General features: G+C 38.8%; 2 protein-coding genes across 9 annotated transcripts in view; one reads left to right on the plus strand and one right to left on the minus strand.

The window, feature by feature from the left end:
• Positions 1–6,848, plus strand: part of CPNE3 (copine 3) — a 47,064-nt gene extending 40,216 nt beyond the window's left edge. For all 7 annotated transcript variants that reach the window (XM_047422393.1, XM_047422394.1, XM_024447322.2 and 4 more), the window contains 3 exons: positions 201–334; positions 1,452–1,688; positions 3,638–6,848. In XM_047422393.1, coding sequence (XP_047278349.1) covers positions 201–334; positions 1,452–1,688; positions 3,638–3,760 — 494 coding nt within the window. In that variant the 3' untranslated portion in view covers positions 3,761–6,848. The remainder of the gene's footprint in view (positions 1–200; positions 335–1,451; positions 1,689–3,637) is intronic.
• The window catches only part of CNGB3 (cyclic nucleotide gated channel subunit beta 3), a 169,456-nt gene continuing 165,492 nt past the window's right edge, over positions 19,529–23,492 (minus strand). For both annotated transcript variants that reach the window (NM_019098.5, XM_011517138.3), the window contains one exon: positions 19,529–21,480. In NM_019098.5, coding sequence (NP_061971.3) covers positions 21,154–21,480 — 327 coding nt within the window. In that variant the 3' untranslated portion in view covers positions 19,529–21,153. The remainder of the gene's footprint in view (positions 21,481–23,492) is intronic.

The raw sequence follows: 23,492 nt of genomic DNA on the forward strand, positions 1-23,492 counted from the left end.
ACAGAGCTTATAGGTTTTTGCAATGGATCATACCTATGGAGTTATGTAATACATAGCTTAGAGGAACTACTGCTTATAGAACTTTTGACTATTTAAAGCACTATATGTTGATACATATAATCAAATTAGCCAGTATTGTGAATAAACACATTGTGCTTGAGAATTTTTAGTACTGTTTTTTATTTGTTTGTTTGTTCTAGGAATCCAAGGCATTGTAGAGGCGTATCGGTCTTGTCTTCCTCAGATAAAACTCTATGGACCAACTAATTTTTCTCCAATCATAAATCACGTGGCCAGGTTTGCTGCTGCAGCCACGCAACAGCAGACAGCTTCTGTAAGTGCTCTATGGCCAGGGAATGGGAAGAATGTGGATTGGTAGCAGCTCCTGGTGCCATTTTTCTATGTTTTTGGTTTGTCATAATACAAAGTCAGGGCAAGATACAATAACACAGTCATTCTTGGTTTGGGAGTAACTTTTGTTGTTGTTATACTAGTGATCGTTAAAAATAAGACAACAGCAAAACAACACTTGGCATTCATGAGTCTTTTATCCTTGGAATTAACTTTCTTAGATAGGTTCTACCAAAAAAAAAAAAATGCCTATCATCTACCTTTTTGAAGTAGACATAACAAATTAAGCTTAAGGAAAGTTACCACATCAGATGCTGTTGCAAGATTTCTTATTGTACTAAAGATATTTGAATGAGGTAACCATTACCTATTGGACCGTGGATACCAAATTTCTCTTAGCCTCAGCATATTCAGAAGTAAGTTAGGGGAAACTACCTCATACTGTTGTTGAAAAGGTTAGATAATTCATATAAAGTACACAATGCCTGGGTCAGAGTAAACACTCAACATATGTTAACTAATATTGTAAATCTTATTCCTATTCTAGACTTAAATGGCCCAAAAGATGGAGTCACTACTTGATGTAACATTTTACTGCTCTCTGAAAAGGTTTATCTTAGGTGACACAATCTGGGGGATGATTTCATCACTTAAACCATATCTATTTTTTTGTGTGTATTTTAGCTTCTAAAATTTTTGTATTCTAATATTCTAATTCTAATAATTTTTGTATTTATTTGATCTTCTGAGAATGAAGTTTCCACTTGCCTCCTTGATAGATACTTTGACATATTTAATACTTGAGTTAAAACTGTTTATTCCTAGCCTTACTGAAAGGTTAATCTTTGACATTTAGATGTCCTGCTTCCATATATTTTGCCAACCCTATTTTGTGGTCTGCTGCGCTTTTAATGAACCTGCAGTTTTTGTAAGAGTCAATTTCCTTGTCATCAGAGAAGCTTAGAATATTTTATGTGGTGGTAGCTAGGGTAGAGACTGGCAAGGAAAATGAACAAGAAAGACTGGATGACTCATCAAGCCAGAGATGCCATTAGCCATTGCTTGACTTGCTCAGGGGACATGTTTTCTTTTTCTGGCAGCAATATTTTGTGCTTTTGATTATTACTGATGGTGTGATCACAGACCTTGATGAAACCAGACAAGCTATAGTTAATGCCTCCAGGCTGCCTATGTCCATCATAATTGTTGGAGTTGGAGGTGCTGACTTCAGCGCCATGGAGTTTCTGGATGGTGATGGTGGAAGTCTCCGCTCCCCATTGGGCGAAGTGGCCATCAGAGATATTGTCCAGTTTGTGCCTTTCAGACAGTTCCAGAATGTGAGTACCACTCCTCCCTACTCAAACACTAAAGTGACTGAACACAGACCTTTGCCCATCTACAACCAGGCAGTTGATTAGGTGTGCAGGGTTAGAGGATGTGTGAACACTTTCCTTTGTCCATTTGAGAGCTCCGATTTGGTTTAGCAGTGTTGCTTCAGGATGTTCATTATGTGCTTCTTGCAGGCTATATGATAAATTGTTTTAAAATAGTATTGTGACTCTCTCAAGTATTTTATCTTTACCTTTGTAACAACAGGAAAAAACTCTTATGTAACTGTATGCCAAATCCCCCTCAAGCTGGAAGTTTAGTTTGATGAATATCTCTTAGAAGACTATTTTACCCAGTTTACTCCAGTAGTAACATATTGCAGAGCTATAGTACAGAATCACAACCAGGATACTTACAGTGGTATAATCAAGATGCATCATAAGGATCCCCCTGGTTGCCCTTTTATAACCACATCCCCTTCTTTCTACTTCTAGCCCTTCCTTAACCTTGGAAACCACTTACTAATATAGTCTTCATTTCTATAATCTTATCATTTCAAGAATATCATATAAATGGAATCGTACAATATACAACCTTTTGGGATTGGCTTTTTTTCCACTCAGCATCACTCTCGAGAATCACCAAGTTTTTGCAAGTACTTCTTTTTATTGCTGAGTCATATTCCATGGTATGGATGCACCACCATTTGTGTAACCGTTACCCCACAGAAGGACAGCTGGCTGTTGCCTGTTTTTCTCTCTGATACATAAGGCTACTATAAACATTTACGCATGGGTTTTTGTTGTTGTTGTTGTTTGTTTGTTTTGTTTTTGTTTTGAGACAGAGTCTTGCTCTGTCACCCAGGCTGGAGTACAGTACTGCAACTTCCGCCTCCTGGGTTCAAGTGATTCTCATGCCTCAGCCTCCCGAATAGCTGGGATTACAGGTGTGCACCACTATGCCTGGCAATTTTTTTCTATTTTTTAGTAGAGACAGGGTTTTACCACGTTGGCCAGGCTGGTCTCAAACTCCTGGCCTCAAGTGATCCACTCGCCTCGGCCTCCCTAAGTGCTGGGATTACAGCCGTGTGCCACCGCACCCAGCCTATTCATGGATTTTTGAGCAAACATAAGTTTTTATTCCTCTGGGATAAATACCTAGGACTACAGTTGCTGGGTTATACGGTAGTTGCATGTTTAATTCTTAAAGCAGTTGTTAAACTCTTCTAAAGTGGCTATATCATTTAACATTCCCACCAGCAATGGAAGGGGAGGAAGTGGAGTGTTGTGATTATAAAGTAGTAATGTTAGGTAGGGATCTTTGTGGTGTTGAGGCAGTTCTGTATCTCAATTGTGGTGGTGGTTAAACAGATCTATCCAGATGACAAAATTGCATCGAATTATACAGAAACAAACACACACACATACACACACACACACACACAAATGAGTAATGTAAAACTAGAAATCAGAGTAAGTTCTGTGAACTGTATCAGTGTCAGCTGCCTGGTTTTGGTTTTGATACTGTACTATAGTTATGCAAGATGTTACCTTTGGAGGAATCTGGGTGAAGGGTGCATGGTACCTTTCTTTACTGTTTTTGCAACTTCCTATGAATCTATAAATGTTGTAAAAAAAAGTAAAAAAAAATTAATACCAAGTAAGTGAAAGAACCACATTTAAAAGTTATAAAACAACAACAACAAAATCATCAAATGTTAGAATGCTGGCACCGAAAAAGGACTTGACAAATGTTAGCAGGGATAGTAATAGCAATCATAAGTAACATTGGCTAGTTAACTCATTCCATATTTCATGGGCGGTTCCTAAGAAAAGGTACAGGCCTATGAATTAGAATTGCTTCATTTTAGTGGCTGCTGAAGTATCCCTAGTCTTTTATGAAAAAGCCAGGAAAATTCAGTTGCTAATAAAGTCACTTTTATTTTGTTTTTCACAAGGCTCCAAAAGAAGCACTTGCTCAGTGTGTCTTGGCAGAGATTCCCCAGCAGGTGGTGGGCTACTTCAATACATACAAACTCCTTCCTCCCAAGAACCCAGCCACGAAACAACAGAAGCAGTGACCACTTCAACAGAATTCTTTTGTGTTATGTGGAGCAATGCCATCTCTCACCCCAAATCGTGTATCTGTCATTCTACGTACTTTTTACCCCCAGCATTTATGATGTAAATCTCTTTCTCTATGGATTATATCTGTTTAAAGCATTCTTTCTAGGTTATTTTGGGGGGACAGTGCCAAGTCCATCTTTGCCCAGTCAATTCAGTGATTGATAGCAATTTACATTAATTGCAGTAAAGCTCTTTGGATTAGAAATTAGTGTGGGGAAAGCTTATTCTGTTGTTGTTTTTGTTTACTTTCATATGATGAAAATGCTGTGTTTAAGTGTTTGTCAATAGGAAGAATGGAAAACTGTTGGGATGATGTGGTTTGCAGGTTGCTGTGCCTGATTCACAGTGTATGTTGTATAAGCCAATGTCCATACCTGATTATGAGAGCTTCTTAAATTATATGATATCAAATTTGTTCCTGTAACTCTGTATACAGTGCTTTTCTGCAAGGTAAAAATAACCTGTCTATGCATCTGATTTTTGCTACAGTTTAGACACTGTGGTTTACAAAACAGCATGCACTCAACTTGGGACTTTATGAAAAGTACTGAATGAGCAGGAAAAGGCACATACTCAGTTTTTTAAATGTACAATCAACAAGTAAAAATAACCTCATGTAAGTAAGCCATTTTTATTTGCCTTTCTAGATATTTTATTTTATTGTGGAAAACTGTAAACATGGTCAGATTTGGCTTTTTTTTTCATTAACTGAGCAAGACTTTCAGGATATTGTAGATGCACAGATGGTAGGTTGTCCTGAATTCTACATTATTAGATTACTTTAATTGAGATTTGTTAAAACGGTTAGGACTGTTTTGTCCAGGAAAGATAAGAGGACCAAACATATAAGGTGAAATTCAGAATTCCGTTTCCTTCTAACTAATGAAAAACTGCTTACTAAAAAAAAATTTTATACTTTCCTTGCTAAGGTCCCATATATTGATTTGTACAGATCCACTTAGTCATTTTCTCCTTTTTTTAAGAACCATTTTCATCTGATTTTTAAACTCACGATACCAGTTATCTGTTAATCAAAATTGCATTTTACAATTTAATAATGTGATATTTCCTATGTCTACAGCATACCTTATTAGGTATAAAACCTACTGCAACTTAGAAAAAGGAAAGAAAAAAGAAAACTTTTCCAACTGCTGCATTAAGATAGGGTGGATTTTATGTGCTTTTTTTTTTTAAGAGTTGAATTTCTTTTCCTGACTTTTACCTTTTACAGCGTATTACTTAGTGAACATTACATTTTCAGAATAGATCCTAATATTTTATTGAGGGCCTATGTGCTAAAAACTATGCATATCTATATATTGGCCAATTATCTTTAATAATTTACCTTTTGAAATTGCATGTTTATCATATATCCTTAAGTGGACACATACAGTGCCATGTTGATGTGCCTCTCAGTTTTATTGAAAAGCTGCCCCACAGCCCATGTCTCTTGTTCTCTGCAATGCCTCAAGGGAGTGAGCTCTCAACCACAGATAGCTGTGGCTTCTCAGAAGCAGCTCATTGCCAAGGCCAGGCTGAGAGGGGACCTGCTTGCTGTGGTGGTTGCCTAGCCCAGATGAGCATTTACCTACCACCTTCCCACTTGGCTAGCTGTCCTTTGGATATGTGCTGTTAACTGGGGAAGGCATCTAACTAGTAGCCTGCTACTCCATAGTATGGCTCAATAGATGACACATCATTTTGACATTATCAATAGGAGAAAAGAAAACTAACCCTTCTTCTGATTGTTTGGAGCCATAGTTGTCTCAGATGTTCTAATTCTCTTTGTATGCTTGGAAACAGCATAGATATGTTGCTGTGGTTTTCAGAATTTTCTCTTTTAATCACAAGAAGCCTTTTAAAAAATGACTTACACATATTCTCAATGTACAGTAAAACAGACAGAAGTGAGCTTATCTGTTTGATGCTGTGGCAGGGTCCCAGTCACTGGGCATATCCTCCTTCTCCTTAACCAGCTCCACAGCAGCCCCTGAGTCACCTGCACAAGGTGCTTGGGAACTGCTGGTTATGAGCATTCCTGGTTTTCTTCAGCCAAATAACAGGTAATCACTGTCAATTGGATTTGGTCTTCATTATTTTATATTCTGATTTTATCAGAATTATTCTATTTTAAAATTGTTTTAAAATTTAAAACATTTAATTCATGATCATGTTCATCAGTAGATGCTATTATTCATAAGAACTGTGATTCCAGCAAACTAGGGTAATTGGTGCCTTTTTACAGTTTTGAATAAAAGCATTTACAATTTCTAAATTATCAGTTTTCACAGTTTCAGCACTCAACCTCATCATACGCTGATTTAATATTGTTTTACATTAAAATAGTCCTTTTCCCTGTTGTGCCACCATTCATTTAAGTGCTGTTTGTTCTTAAAATGCATTTAAAGAAAAATTACCCATATTGACTTTCACACCTCATATAATCAGATCTATTACAAATATATATCGGAGTGACGGTGCCCAGGATAGATGTAATATTTCTTACAGATGCTGGCACAGAGGAAATAATATACCAGCTAATCTAGTCACCTAACCTTGTGGTTAGAATTGCAATTTTAAGACCAGAAAAATTTGAAGTCTGATCAGAGATTTACAACTGTTCATTATAGTGGTGCCTTAGGCAATCTTTCCAAAGTAAATTCAGGGCCCCATTGCTACTTATGCCATATTTGGACATACTTTTTTTTTCTTCAATTTTGTAAACTTCCTGGAAAGCTGTCTTCACTAAGTATCCCCTAGTCTCTATATATGTGGTTAGTAGTCATGGAAATGACACATAAAGTACGCCAGAAGTTTGATGGAACGTGTTAGAAACTGTTTTGTGCTTTTATGGATGTCATACTTGACAATACATGTGTAAGTTACTAATATATGAATTGATGCTAAATATATCTTACATTTGAATTCCTTTTGGATAAAGTTATTTCTTGATGTGACAGAGTAGTGTGTTTTCATTTTTATTCTTTACATGTGACCAAAACAATAGAAAAGTTAAAAATAAAATATAGTGTTTTAGGTGGCCTTTGACTTCATATTTTACTGAATTAAACAATTTGGGGGATATTATTTTATGGGATTTATTTGTTTAAAAGATATTGAGTGGGTCCAAGATACTCTTCTGGGTACAGTAAAGGAAAGATTCTTAGCTTATAGCTAGAATGGCCTGAGATTATCAATCATGTTAAGAAGGATAGTGTAACCACCTAATTTTAAAAAAAATGTTTTAATTGCTTTTGTCATGGGCATTGGGCAGGACTTTGCCAGTGGTAACCAAGACAGCCACGATTGCTGCCTTTGTAGAAATAATGGTCTAGTGGGGGAGAGAAAACATTGAGCAAGTAATTATAGAGATGTGAGATCTGTGCGTGAAACAACATACAGTAGAGAGAGACCTAACCCATCTGAGAGGCAAGGAGCACTTCCCTGAGGATGTGCCATGTAAGCTAAGACCTGAAAGTTAGCTAGGTGAAGAAGGTTAAAAGCACTTATGAAGCTGTCAGGCCAACAGCAAGTATAGAGTTGAATGTTCTAGGAGTGGACAGAAGTTTGAGTTTGCTGAAATATAAAGTATAAGAGGGAAAGTGGTAAAAGAAATGAGGTGGAGTGGTTGGTGGTGTTTACATCCTGAGGGCCTTTTGGGGCAGGTAAGGGAGTTCAGACTGAGGCTTAGGGTAATGGGATGCCACTAAATTGATTTAAGCAAATGAATGATGTGATTATATTTGTGCATTTGAAAAACCAGAGGACCATACTTTTTAGGGCAGACAGATGAGTTCAGAAGCCCACAGAGTTCCACATGGAACCCTGTGACCAAATGTGGGTCTAGTCGCAATGGCTTTGCCTTGGTGAAGGCCAGATGGCAGAGCTGATAGTGGTCACCTTCTGGCAGACACTCAGCTGTTTGGTCACATACTTTCTAAGTGTCTGATTCTAGGTCTGTTTCCAAATTCTGAGCTTTTCCTGCCTCACTATCAAATTGTCTGGTAGACCCGTATCTTGTTGGTTCCTTAATGGTGCAGAGGCTGGTTCAGACCTGGTGATAATATGTCTTCAGGAATGCCAAACCCTTGCATGTAGCAAGACCATCACCCTTGTCACTTGTCACCAAATAACATCACTTCCTGATCATCACTACATTTGGCCAGATTCTCCAGAAAAACCACAGTAGTTTGAAATGTCCATACAGAATTACACTTTGGCTTGGCTGTTGATTCCTTCCTCCAAAATGATGGAAAGTATTATTATAAGCAGAATTGTGACTTCTTACTGCTTGGGAAAGGAGAGCTATCTCTGGTCTTTCATCAGCAGATGCTTACAAAGCATTTATTGGTGCTCACAAAGCACCAAGTTTTATAGCAGCACCTGGTCTTCTAGGACTGGAATCAGAAGAATTTCAAGGATGGGGAGCTTTAAGGAGTTCTCAGAGAAAAGTCTGAGTAGGAAATAATTTGCTTTTTTCAACCATCCCTTCCTTTCAGTAAGAAGTATTCAATTTTTCTTTGAACAAATATTTATTGGGTAGTCTATTACTGGCAATCAACAGGGGAATTCAAACAGAGTAAAAAAATTCTTGCTGACTTCAAAGCTTATGATCTAATATGGAAAAGGAGACAGTATATATGTTAAACAGAACAAGAGTGAGCAAGGTGAGGGACTCTGCTGTGTTGGAGTAAGACTGGCCCTTCTTGTGCCTTCAGGCATCCATGGTGATGAGGAAAGAGGGTCCCTTGAATGCTGCTTCTGGAAAGATGCTTCTCCTGCCCATCCTGCTATCATTCATTGCTCTCCACTACCATCCTGTGATCACTGTTCATGCCAGTCCTCACAAGAAGCCCAGACCATTAGTTTCCAACCCCTGTATTCTGACTCCATATCCCACTTCTCTCCAGTGCCCCATACCCTTCCACTCTGCCCTCAAGAACTGGGTCGTTCATTAGCAGAAATTTCTGATATCAATGTTTTTTTCTGAATAGTCCCTTCACCTTTTAATTCTAATTAAAACCTGCCTCTCTTGAAGAACATTGCTTCCTCTGCTGCCCTCTCAAGTGATGGTAATTTCCTCTTCCTGATCTACCCCTGGGCTTGGAGGCTGCGTAGGTACCCTCCTTGATCCTCCCTTCTGCTTTCAGAGAGCTTTTCCCTCCTCTTTAAAACCTCTGGCTTTGAATCTTGCATCATTAGATTAGATCACTCTCTATCCCTCCTTATAATAATACTGCTCTCTATTCAACCTCAGCCCACATTCTGAAGGTCATATGCTAGACCTTATCGTTATTGATTTAAAAAAAACCCTCCCTGATCGCATTTTCAAGTATTCAGTTTTTCAATAACAACCACTTTTGCAGTTCACTCCCTTTAGTACCACAACTCTAACAAGTCTCCCTCCATGCCTTCAATCACAAATCCTACCAACTTCTCAGTGTCTCGATGGTCTGGCCCCTCCTGCTCTTTCCTTTTCTAAACTTCTTTTCTACTAATCTCTGCATTGTCATTCACTCCAACCACATGGGCTTTCTTGCTCTTACTTGAATATGCCTGGCATATTCCTGGCTCAGGGCTTTTGCACTTGCCGTTGCCCCTTCTTGAAAACCCAGCCTCCCCTAGCCACTTGGGAACCTTGCTCCCTCACCTCCTTCAGGTCTTTATTTAAGCATCACTCAGTGAGGCCTTTTCTGATCACCTTATTTAAAAGTGTACCTCTTTCCCTAGTACTTTTTATTTTTCTTCTCTGTTTATATTTATTTTGGCCAGGTGCAGTGGCCTACGCCTGTAATCATGGCACTTTGGGAGGCTAAGTTGGGTGGATTGGTTAAGCTCAGGAGTTTGAGACCAGCCTGGGCAACATGGTGAAAACCCATTGTATTACTCCGTTCTCATGCTGCTAGTAAAGGCATACCCAAGACTGGGTAATTTATAAAGGAAAGAGGTGTAATTGACTCACAGTTCAGCATAGCTGGGGAGGTTTCAGGAAACTTACAATCATGGCGGAAGAGGAAGCAAACACATCCTTCTTCACCTGGTGGCAGCACGGAGAAGTGCAGAGCAAAGTTGGGGAAAAGCCCCTTACTAAATCATCAGATCTCATGAGAACTGACTCACTATCACCAGAACAGCATGGAGGTAACCACCCCCATGATTCAATTACCTCCCATCTGGGTCCCTCCCATGACATGTGGGGATTATGGGAACTACAATTCAAGATGGGGACACAGCCAAACCAAATCAGCTGTCTCAATACAAAAATTAGCTGGGTGTGGTAGAGCACACTTTTGGTTCCAGCTACGCAGGAGGCTGTGAGGTAGGAGGATTGCTGGAGCCTGGGAAGTTGTTTTTTTGTTGTTGATGTTGTTTTGTTTTTTTTTCTTGTCCTCCCTCACCCACTAGAATGTCAGTTCCAAGAAATCTGGGATTTTTGCCTGTTTGTTCACTGCTTTCTCCTCAGAGCCTAGAAGATACCTTGGCATTTAGAAGGCATTCCCTAAATAAACACTGAAAGAATGAATGAATGAAGTATATACTAGAGAATATATAAAGATAGAAGTTAGTTTATATGAGAAAATATTGAAGCTTAGAATGGGAAGATTTTCTATTCAATGTGGAGAGTCGTCAGGGCAGTGGGAAGATCTTGGAGAGCTTCATGGATGGTTTGACATTTCATCTGGGATTTAAAGGTTTTATGGGGCTTTATAATGTAGAGAAAGCGGAAGAGCCTTTCAGCAAAGAAATTGGCATTGTCAGTGGCATGGATTAAGAAAGCGTGGGTTGAGAAACATTGTTAGTATAGGGAGATGAATGTATGAATGAACCGTTTTGTTTCATAACTAAATCTCTTTATTCACTTTTACAAATGTGATATTGAAATTCAAACAATATTGATCTTCCACATATTTTATTTCTTTATTTTTTATAGAGACAGGGTCTCAAACTCCTGGCCTCAAGTGATCTGCCTGCCTTAGCCTTCTAAAGTGCTGGGATTACAGGCATAAGCCACCATGCCCGACCACACATATTTCTATTTTAATGAAATCTGTGGTTAGTCCTTTTCTGAAGGACATGCTAAATCTGAATTTTTCCTCTCAGATTTGGAATATAAATATGGTCCTAACATGGCAGACTTGATCATCATTTGACCCCATAAAATCTTGGCAAATGTACTTGTTTATTTGAAAAAGGCCTGCTTTAGGTGGATGCTACTTTTATCAAGCCTTTCCATGGGCTTCATGTTTGAAAAGCATGTGTTATCTTTTGACCTTGAACTCTGCTTTACTCTGGCGTAGCCCTGGACAAAGGGTCTTATTACAAAACACGAATGTTTTGTAAAATGGGACTTGGGGTAGGAATCGTTAAATTCCCTTGCAAGTCTAAGATTCTGGTGTAAACAACAGAGCTTGATTTATTCAAAGCTGGATGCAAGAAGCTGTATCACGAGCCCAGTTAATAACCCTTAGCATACACTATATGCTGAATTCTGTATTGCTTAGGATTCCCAGCAGAGAGGATTCTCATAAATTTGTGGCAGAATCATTGTGTGCATTGGGCAGAGATGACTAGAGGTGCAAACGGACAGTAAGGGGGCTGTGACCTTTCAGGTATCACTCCCTTTCCTCATCCGAGGGAGTTATTATCTAGAAATGTCAGGTTGCATTGCTTAATGATGCACATTTATTTGACCTTTGCACCGTCACTTCTAGTCACAAAAGTTATAGTAGGAAAAATACAGTCAGTCATAAAAACCCATAGAGAAAAACATCAAATTTTACTACAGCGTGTGGGTATGGTACTTAAAATATCAGTTTCAAGTATCTTTGGTCTGATTAGTTATAATAAATTCCAGAACAGCATAATGATTAATTAACACCTTCTAAAGATTTAAAAAATTCCCGTAGGTGGGTAAAGGCATTATTGTAAATATAGAACAGGTCCAAATTACTAAAAGTACAGATTCTTCTCTTATTGGTTTTCTGTGTAGCAATTTTTCATCTAATACAACTGAAATAAAATAGATTTTTATATATCAAGGGTGTTCAATCTTTTGGCTTCCCTGGGTGACATTGGAAGAATTGTCTTAGGCCACACATAAAATAAACTAACACTAATGGTAGCTGATAAGCCAAAAAAAAAAATTTACAAAAAAACTCATAATGTTTTAAGAAAGCTTACAAATTTGTGTTGGGCTGCATTCAAAGTTGTCTGGGCTGCATACGACCTGCAGGCTGCAGGTTCGATAAGCTTATTATATATTATGTTAAGAGGGGACCAAGTTACTCCTTTCCTTTGAGTATACTTAGAGCTTTCGGCCCATTCTAATACTACAATTGGTGAAGTTGTGCAATTCATTTTATTTTTCTTTTTTTAAGTCCTTCTTTGTTTATAGACAGAGTCTCACTGTGTTGCCCAGGCTGGATTGCAGTGGCATGATCTTGGCTCACTGCAACCTCTGCCTCCTGGTTCAAGTAATTCTCCTGCCTCAGCCTCCCAAGTAGCTGGGATTATAGGCACCCGCCACCATACCCAGCTAATTTTATTTATTTATTTATTTATTTATTTATTTATTTATTTATTTATTTTTGAGATGGAGTCTTGCTCTGTCGCCAGGCTGGAGTACAGTGGCGCGATGTCAGCTCACTGCAACCTCTGCCTCCCAAGTTCAAGCGATTCTCCTGCCTCAGCCTCCCGAGTAGCTGGGACTACAGGCATGCACCATCATGCCTGGCTAATTTTTTGTGTTTTAGTAGAGACAGGGGTTTCGCTATGTTGGTCAGCCTGGTTTGGAACTCCTGACCTCAAGTGATCCACCCCCCTCAGCCTCCCAAAGTGCTGGGATTACAGGTGTGAGCCACCGGACCTGGCGTTTTAATTTTTTTTTTTGAGACAGAGTCTCGCTCTGTCACCCAGGCTGGAGTGCAGTGGCACGATCTCAGCTTACTGCAACCTCTGCCTCCCGGGTTCAAGTGATTCTTTTTTCTTGTGTCTCATCCTTCCAAGTAGCTGGGATTACAGGTACATGTTACCACGCCCAGCCAATCTTTTTGTTTCTTTGTTTTTTTAGTAGAGACGGGGTTTCACCATGTTGGGCAGGCTGGTCTCAAATTCCCAAAGTGCTGAGATTACAGGCGTGAGCCACTGCACCTGGATGAAATTGTGCAATTTAAAAGTCATTTCTAGTTCCAAGTTCTCTCTTGTTTAAAGAAAGGTTTTGCTTATTTTTGACGTGGTCCTTGTGTGGGGTTGGCAGATTTAGCAAACAAAAATACAAGATGTCAAGTTAAATTTGAATTTTGGACAAAAATGAATATTTTTTCATATAGGCAAGTCCCAATTATGGCATGGAGCATATCTATACTAAAAAATTATTCAGGCTGGTCATGGTGGCTCACGCCTGTAATCTCAGCACTTTGGGAGGCTGAGGTGAGCAGATCACCTGAGGTCAGGACTTTGAGACCAGCCTGGCCAACATGGTGAAACCCCGTTTCTACTAAAAATACAAAAAGTAGCCAGGCGTGATGGCACACGCCTGTAATCCCAGCTACTCGGGGGGCTGAGACAGGAGAATCGCTTGAACCCGGGAGGTGGAGGTTGCAGTGAGCTGAGATCGTGCCACCGCACTCCAGCCTTGAGCAACAGTGAGACTCCATCTCAAAAAAAAAAAAAAAAAAAAAAAAAAGGATTCATTAACTGAGTGTCCTGTGTTTTATGTGACAATTCTGTTTGATAGATTGAAAAATGGCCAGAATCCTTCCGCTGCCTCTGGATCCACTCCTTTTGCAATGTGACTTTGCTGTCCCCCCATTAAGAAGTGGATTTCATTTCTCTACCCCTTTAATCTAGGCTGGTTTTGTGACTTACTTTGGCTAATAGAATGTGTAGACATAATGATGTGTGAATTCTGAGCCTATGCCTCAAGAGCCTGGCTCACTTCTGCTTTGTCTCCTCTCAGAACCTTGTGCAGTCTCCACACCCAGTGTACCCATTTTCAGGATGACAGACCATGTGGTTAGAAAAAAGCTGTCCCATCTGAGACTGTCCTGAGACTGTTCTACACCAGCCAGCCCCCAGTCAATCCGGCAGCTGACTATAGAGCATGAATTAGCCCAGCTAAGACCAGAAGAACGAGCTCAAATTGGCAATCTATAGAAACCAATAAATGATTCAGGAGCTAATAAATGATTATTTTAACTTACTACATTTTAGTTAGCAAAAGCAAATTAATGTAGTTTGACAATGCAAAATAGAGCTGGGCATTTTTAAGACCAGAGGACAGCTTATAGGTTGTGCTGAGTTTTGGAGGCCACAGATAAAAGTGAAATAGAAGGTGATATTATAATCAATTTTGAGCAAATAACACTTGGAATGGCTTCAGTGAATCAGAGGAAATTGCTTGTTGAAATAAACACTTGTGCCCACAGGGTGAAAAAATTACTTCTTATAGAGATATTGTTTTCCTTCTTTAACTATTTAAGATTTAAAATATAGAACCTCTGCTGAGTGGCTTCTTCCTTCTTTCTCTGCAGATCTTATCATGATACATCTCTTTTAACCAGCCCATGCTGCACTGTATTTCTGGTGATTAATTGTCGAGGTCAGACCTGGGCAGTGAGGAAAGACCTGGTCTGGGAAGAACTTTCATATATAATAAGTCTTCACTTGACATTAACCAATTTTACCATAGGCTGATTAGTATAAACAAGAGTTAAGTTCCCATGGCATATTTCTGGTCATAAAAACATCACCAAACTTCAAAATAATGACCAAGACACCTATAATATTAAACATTGAAATAAGTGTGAGCTGTACGCACATTTAGGAAAGATTAATTAAAACAAGATAATTACTTACTCAATTATTCCAGTTCAGAGTCTCAGGTGACCTAAGAATATCCCAGCAGTGAAGGACACAGGTAAGAACTGACCCTGGAAAGGATGCCATCCATCACAGGGTGCATTCACACACACCCACACACTCACACACATGCACACTCACACACACCCACACAATCACACATGCCCACACACACACACATACCCACACACACCCACATTCACAAACACACACACCCACACACACACACAAACACACTCCCACACTCACTCCGACTGGGACCATTTAGACACAGCAGCCCACCTAACAGGCACTTCTTTGGGACATAGGAGAAAACTGGAGAAACCCACACAGTCATGAAAAGAACGTGCAAAATCCATGCAGACAGTGGCTGTAGAGAGGAATCTATTTTTTTCTCACTCATGTTATAACAAAACGACATTGTATGTAACTACATTACTTGAGGACCTGCTGTATCTATAAATCATCAATTAATTAGTCAAATGATTAATGAACATGGACTATAGGGAGTCCAGAGAAGAGATATATGTGGATTAGCAGTAGTAGGGAAAGAAAGAAGTAGGGAAAAGCTCACCTATTATCTCTGGGGACCCCTGGATGTCTGGATTTTAACTCTTGGCCAAGATAAGGGCAGTGAGAATAATGCGGTGTTTAAAGTGCTAAACTCTGGCGACTCCGAGTCAGTTTCTTCACTAAAGGTTTTCTAGTGATCTAATTGGTTAGGCAGCATGCCTTTGATATGTGGAGAGAGGGGTATATGAAGCCCACTGTTGATTTTATAGCTTTGAGCTCTCCCAAAGCCTAGATTCCTTGCACAGATCTTGGTGGTTCAATCCCTGAGACAGAGTCTGGTCAGATCCTTGTGTAACCACCTTGGGGAGCTTGCTCATGGGATGATTGTCAGGCTCCCACTGCTTGCCTGTGCTCTTTTTCTCTTGCTGCATCTTTTCCATGGCCTTTACGTAAAAGCCCCACATGTGTATGAGTATGCTCTGTGGAATGTGGTGAGCTCTTTCCAATATCTGGACATGGGAAATCTTTGCATTCACAGTGCCTAGGGAAAGAGATGTCTCATTTTCCTCATCTGAGAAATGGTGAGGATGATAAAAACAATAATTACATCATGGGGCTATTACGAAGATTAAATGAGCTAACAGAGGTACAACACTTAGAGCAGTATCTGGTAGACAGTAAATGCTGTGTAAGTGCTAGCTATTATTATTTTCAGCCTGTCTAAACCTTAGTGATATGGTTTGGCTGTGTCCCCACCCATATCTCATCTTGAATTGTAACTCCCACAATTCCCACATATCGTGAGAAGAACCTGGTTGGAGGTGATTGAATCATGGGGGTGGGTTTTTTTGTTTGTTTGTTTTGAGATGGAGTCTTGCTCTGTCGCCCAGGCTGGAGTGCAGTGGCGCGATCTCCGCTCACTGCAAGCTCCGCCTCCTGGGTTCACACCATTCTCCTGCCTCAGCCTCCTGAGTAGCTGGGACTACAGGCACCCGCCACCAAGCCCGGGTAATTTTTTTTGTATTTTTAGTAGAGACGGAGTTTCACCATGGTCTCTATCTCCTGACCTCGTGATCTGCCCACCTCGGCCTCCCAAAGTGCTGGGATTACAGGTGTGAGCCACCGCGCCTGGCCAGGGGTGGGTTTTTCATGCTGTTCTCATGATAGTGAATAAGTCTCAGGAGATCTGATGGTTTAAAAAATGGGAGTTTCTCTGCACAAGCTCTCTCTTTGCCTGCTGCCATCCATGTAAGATGTGACTTGCTCCTCCTTGCTTTCTTCCATGATTGTGAGGCCTCCCCAGCCATGTGGAATTGTAAGTCAATGAAACCTCTTTTTCTTTCTAGTTTCGGGTATGTCTTTGTCATTAGCATGAAAACAGACTAATACACTTAGCATGGGGGACTTCTTTTGCCTCAACTTTGTGTGTGTGCATGTGTGTATGTTTGATAATTGCTTCCTGTCTACTCACATATTATTAAGAAAAAAATCTTGTTTTAAAATAGCTGGGGTTTTTTTTGTTGTTTGTTTTTTGTTTTTTGTTTTTGACGGAGTCTCGCTGTATCGTCCAGGCTGGAGTGCAGTGGCATGATGTTGGATCACTGCAACCTCCACCTCCTGGGTTCAGGCAATTCTCCTGCCTCAGCCTCCCAAGTAGCTGGTACTACAGGCGCCCACCACCACACCCAACTAATTTTTGTATTTTCAGTAGAGACAGGGTTTTATCATATTAGCAAGGCTAGTCTCAAACTCCTGACCTTAGGTGACCCACCCGCCTCAGCCTCCCAAGGTGCTGGGATTACAGGCATGAGCCACCTCACCCAGTGCTGTTTGAAATTTTATCAGTAAGACTGAAACATTCCATTTTTGCCTGGAGGGTCTGAGTTATTTTGACACAGAAAAGCATCCAGGTGCACAACTTCAAATAAGAGAGTTTTGGACACAACACTCTGTTTATCTTAATGTAATAGTTTTCAAGGAAACAGGGCCCCACATTTGCTTCTTAGCTGAAGCCTGATGTTAAACACTGTCTTGCTTTAATTTGAGCCCATCAAAATATCACTTCATTTAAACTCCACTTAACCTCTCCCCATCCCGAATATCCTATAGTAACCTTGTCTTTTCCTGTGTTTGGTGGGACACTCAGATTTTCTCTGGTGAATAATTTGTTGCATCATGTTAATAAACTTGGCTTTATTGTATTATACTATAGTTTGTTCCTGGTGGTCTTTATCAGACAAGCTTTATAGAAATATACATGCATGGTATTACTGAAGATTTCATTCTTTTTTCTTTTAAACAAACTATACTAGTATTTTAAAAATATCTATCCTTTTTGCTTTATGTAAATCTAATTCATTACTTCTAACTGCTGGATAGAACTTCATCTTACAAACACAACTATACTCCCACACACCATATTTTTTTTCCCATTCTCCTAGAGGTAGATATTAGAGTTGCCTCCAATTCCTTTGTACTATAAACAATGCTATATATCCTCATGGATTTCCTCTTATGGACCTGCTTAAGAATTTTCTGGCATATATACTCTGAAATGGTACTGCTGAGTTCTAAGGTGTGCTGCCAAAATTTTGCTAAGATTGCTAAAATAGTAGAGCCAGTGTACACACTTGCCAGCACTTGGCACTATTATCTGCTTTCAAGTATTTTTCCAGTTAGATGGGTATAAGGTGGTATTCCATTTTGTTCTGATTTGTATTTCTTTGAGCACAAGTGAAGTCAAGCACCTTTTCTCTGTCAATTGCTTATTTGTTTTTCTTCCATGAATTACTTACTCATATTCTCTCTCCCTTTAAAAAACTGGGCTTTTTGTCATTATGCAAAGAAAGCACAAGAGCTAGTTGCCTTCTTATAATTTATAATTAAGCAGAAATAATTTACAATTAAGAGGAAATTAGAGGACATGCTGTACTATGTGGCACTTCCTGAAAGTACAAAAGATAATCCCGTGAGATAGAACCATCATAGGTTGATGTTTTTAGAGGCAGTTGGGAGACAGAAAATGTGAGCAGAGTTGGAAGTATAGGACAGAGGTAAGTGACGGAGGAGAGACAACAACCTTCCAGAGTAAGGCAGGCAGCAGCGACAAAGGCCAGAGGAAGAAGGGCAGGTATTTGTTCCAGAGAAAAAGCAAGGAGACCCACTTAAGTGGAGGATATGGTTAGGGTAGTGGAAATTAAATTTGTATAAATAGGATTTAACTGGTAGGAGGACTAGTAGGTTCCTGTGATGATTGGTTTTTTGTGTCAACTTGATGGGGCCACAGGATGCCCAGATAGCTGGTAAAACATTATTTCTGGGTATGTTTGTGGATGAGATCAGCATTTGAATTGGTGGACAGAGTAAAGCAGGTTGCCCTCCCCAATGTAGGTGGGCATAATACAGTTTGTTGAGGGCCTGAATAGAACAAAAATATGGAGGAAGGGAGAATTTGCTCTCTTGGCCTGGTTGCTCATCCTGGGACATTAATCTTCTCCTGTCTCAGGCTGCAACCTTTACCATTAGCTCTCCTAATTCTCAGTCCTTTGGATTCAGACTAGAGCTACACCACCAGCTCTCTTGGGTCTCCAGCTTAAAGACTGCAGATCATGGAACATCTCAGCTTTCACAATTGTGTGAGCCAATTCCTAATAATAAATCATGTATATATAAAATATATAAATAAAAAACATGATAAATATCTCTATATGATATATATTAAAATATATAATAAATCTCTACACATATTTGTAATATATAATATATATTTAAATATATTTATTATAAGGAATTGGCTCATGAAATTATGAAGGAAAAGAAGTCTCATGATCTACCATCTACAAACTGGAGTCCCTGGAAAGCCCGTTGTATAATTTTAGTCTGAGTCTGAAGGCATCAGAACCAGAAGAACCAGTGGTCTAAGTTCCAGTCTGAATCCAATGGCCTGAGATAGATATATATCCCCTATTTTTTTTTTCTCCCTCTGGAAAACTCTAATACAGCCACTGAGCAGGGAAGTAACATGGTCAAAAGTAGGGTTTTAGAAAGATTTTATTTTCCAATAGCAAAGGGACTAAGAGGGCAGACCAGTGACAAGAGCAGACTATAGGTAAAAAGTGAATGTTTATTTGCATTGAACAGAAAATATGTTCTGGGTGTTAGCAATGGGATTGAAAAAGAAAGGATAATTAGAAAGATTTAAAAAGAAAAAGAATTTGGTGGCACCAAATCAACAATAAAAGAGTTCTTGAATTTTCTTAGATTTTAGTCTGATGGATTGGAAATAAATTGATATTATCTGAAACAGGATAGCTTGGGGGGGAAAATAACTGCCAGGCGAAAAGCATAAATTGCAATGGTCTTGTATTTTAATATCATTTGAATAAATTACAGGGTGTAAAGGGAAAGCATATTGCTCACAAGTTGAGGACTTTTGTCCTTTTCTTTTCCTATTATCAGATGCTTCAGCCCTATTCTACCTTTTGTTTCTGGGTTTTTAAATCACCCTTTTTATACGCAATTCACTCTTTCTGCATACAAACTCCCATTTATCAAATAAATACTATTTAACAATTTGTCCATATTCCCTTAAATCCTGAAAAAACCAACCATCCTTTAGTAAAACTTGTTATATTTTGTGATACTCTAACACTACATGCAAAAACGGTGACTCTATCAAATGATGCAGTTTATTATAGTGATTGATTTGTACATGGTTTGCTAAATGCATCTATGTTGTAGGCTTTTTGGCTAATATGATTTGTTAAAACCCTCTCAGCAAAGTGCTGTTACAGTGACCATCTTTGGAGACTTGGAAATAGCCTCATTACACAGAACTTGATGTTATACACTAATGGCATTTATTAGAATGGAATTCTATATGTATTATTACTTCCGACACCAGCCTGGCCTTTGTAGCCTCCTCACAGCATGCAACGTCGGTAATTATGCTAATGCTAGCTAATTCATGAGGACAACTTCCTAAAGTGCCCTTAATTAACTTGGAGATTTTGTAAACAGCTATACATGTAGGTTCCGGAAATTGTGGGGATATGTCAATCTGACATGTGTAGAGTCTGCCTTCCTAACCTCATCACTTTGTTTTACTAAAGCTTAATTTTAAACAAGAAGTTCCAATCTGATATCTTTTCCAGCAAGTGCTTGAGGAAGATTCTGATAAGTGTCACTTTAGCCTGTATCCTCCAGTCCAAGTCCCTTGAGCCAGATGAGTTAGGTAGATTGGTGTCTTTTAAGTTGGTTAGAAGAGAAAATATTGAAGTTTATTTCTTTAGTAAAGGGTACAATTTTTCCAATATGTTCCTGCAATGTGATTTTGCCAGTTTGCTAATTCTGCCGACCAACATTGGTCTTCAGGGGACTGTTCCAAAAATCAGACTTCTCATTCAGAAAGCTTCATGATCTCTGCTTCCCTTCAGTCCCAGCTGCTGGGGATTTTTTGATATTACAGTGACTCATCATCCTCATTTGAATGAAAATAATCTGATTTTTGACCTATTACATTAAAATCTTATACCCTTTACATGTAAGAGGTGAAATTCATAAACCTAGAACAATTAGCCAGGCTTTAGAGTGCCAAAGAAGAAATTAAACACAATAAAAATTAAGAGAAAAGGTTAGTGAATCACATCACAGCCAAGAGCAAGCTAATAAAACTGGAAGGAAGAGACATCATCAGGAAAGAACCAAAGGAAAAGGAAACTTACTACATACAATTAGAAGATATAGCAATTGCATAAAGTTAATGAAAACGGAGAATAGGGATGGCTTTTAATAATCTTCTTATTACCACTGCATGAAATCACACTCTCAGATAAGTCCTAGAAACTAAGCTAGGGATTTGCCTTTCGTTTCTCAAGGGTCCCAGCATGTCGTTTCCCCTCGTTAATTTAAGTTACAATCCTAGGTACAATCACTTTGGGAACTAGCTATATCACATCTAAAGATAATCAAACATTTATTGCTTAGCCTTTTCTTTGACTTCAATAGTAAGAACCTCTTCTCCGCCCTCAGCAGAAGGAGCCATGCTGATAATGAGTGATTGACGAGAAGTCCCTCTGGGTAAAACTGTCCTTCTAACTGAGTGGGGTTCTTCCTCCACTGCAATAGGACTTGCTGTACATTCAGGTCTGTCCAGTGGCTTCTCTTCTGGCTCTCTTCCTTTATCTTTATCTTCATTTTCTTTTCCTTTATCTTCATTTTCTTTTTGTTTATCTTCATTTTCTTTTTGTTTATCTTCATTTTCTTTTCCTTCTTCCTCTCCTCCTTCAGAATTTTCTTTCTTCTGGAAGGAGCAATTACAAAGAACTGGTGTTGAAATCGTAATTAAAAACATTGGATTAGATTTTGATTAGCATGCAATGGCTAAGATCACCACCAAGACAGACTGTCTGAATTAAGTGAATCCAGGAATCATGTCTGCTTTGCTTCTGACTATCATTTGATGAAGTTTCTGGTGTGCTAGAGAATGGACTTGTTGCCTTTGACTCATGATGTTAGTCTGAATTGCATTTTTTTGTCTCTGCCAAGGAATTCTCTTCCTATTGGTCCTTATACTCTCTGAATTATTAGACTCAGTGCTCAGGACTCTGTTTTTGCTTTTTAAATATTTACTTATTCTGTAGAGATAAAATTTTAAATATTTATTTTTAATAAAAACATATTAACCAATACTATATAAAAATACTGTAAAAAGTAGGGTTTTCCTCTTGCCTAAGCTTGTGGGAGAACCTCAGGGAGAAACTTATCCCTTTCCTAGTATGATCTTTTCCATTTGTCCCACAGGTGCTTGACCTGTCATGTTTGTACCTATCGTGTTTAGCACTAGCTATAGAAATTTCATAGCAAAAGGTACACTATGCTCTTTACTGGTAATGCTTGGGATCAATTTGAGAAAGGCTTGCCTGACATATGAATGTGCACAGATAAAGTTGAGATTCTTAACACATTTACTTATATATTTCTTTACTCCCATACATTTTTTATGCAAATTATTATTTCTATGCTGATGCAAATGAAGCATTTGGTTTATACTGGATCCCTAACTTTCACCACAGTGTTGTATGTGTGGAAAAGGAAAATGCAAGTTTTCATCTTTTGTATGTGACTGACTTTATAATATGTGCTTTACTTATTTTCTGAAAGGTCCACAGCTACCCATTTCTACAGTTTTAGAGATAACATAATGACTAGGTTCAGAAAACCTGAATCCCTGCTCTGTCTGTTTCTCAATATCTGCCCTCATAGGCTAATTATGAGAATCAAAGAAATATGAAACCAAAAAAAAAGAGAGAGAGAGAGAGAAACAATAACATTTGAGTTTCTTTACATTTTTAGGAATTGAAAGGCAGCTTAGTGTAGGCCTGTAAGTCTGAACACCTGAGTAATAGCTTTCTGCTCTGTAACTAATTATGATCTTATCCAAATCCCTTGATCTGGTTTTCAGTTTCTTCATCTATAACATGAAAAGCTTGGATGAAATTTACAAAGTTATTTTGGGCTTTAAACATTTGTGATCTATAGTAATTGAATATTTGTGAAAATGTTGATAAAATGGGTTATTTATTTATATATCCATATGTATGTCTGTATATATACAGTTGATTTTTATTCATGTAGTTTTGTTCTATAAATTTTCCACAAACAGCAAGTTAGCAAGTACTGAACCATTGTTCTTGGAGGAAATACAGCATTAGGTTCCTATGAGATATTATGGTTCAAGCCATAATATTTTTGTCAATTGGTCAATGTATAACTTTGTTTCATGTGTGTTTTTGTTTAGAGATACACTATTTAATTTGATCAATTGATTAATTTGAGGTATTATTGATTCATTATATTGAACTCATGCAAACAGCACTGTAATGCCTGAATGAAGTTTACCTAACACACATATTTTCTCTGGAAGGCACATCACAGCATTTTGGCACTTAGGAGCACTAGACAGTATTTCAGGACTATGCTTGGGGGCTATTTTAAGCAGCAAAATCACACACATGCAAAAAGCACAAAAATGTGGAAAGCATGGCACTAAAAGTGTCACTCTTTTTTGTTGTTGTTTTTGTTTGTTTGTTTGTTTTTTGAGACAGAGTATTGCTCTGTCGCCCAGGCTGGAGTGCAGTGTTGTGATCTCGGCTCACTACAACCTTTGCCTCCCGGATTCAAGCAATTCTCTTGCCTCAGCCTCCCAAGTAGCTGGGACTACAGGTGTGTGCCACCATGCCCGGCTAATTTTTTGTGTTTTCAGTAGAGACAGGGTTTCACCGTGTTAGTCAGAATGGTCTCGATCTCCTGCCC

This window comes from Homo sapiens, chromosome 8 (genome assembly GCF_000001405.40).
Source record: "Homo sapiens chromosome 8, GRCh38.p14 Primary Assembly".
In the NCBI taxonomy this organism is placed as follows: domain Eukaryota; kingdom Metazoa; phylum Chordata; class Mammalia; order Primates; family Hominidae; genus Homo; species Homo sapiens.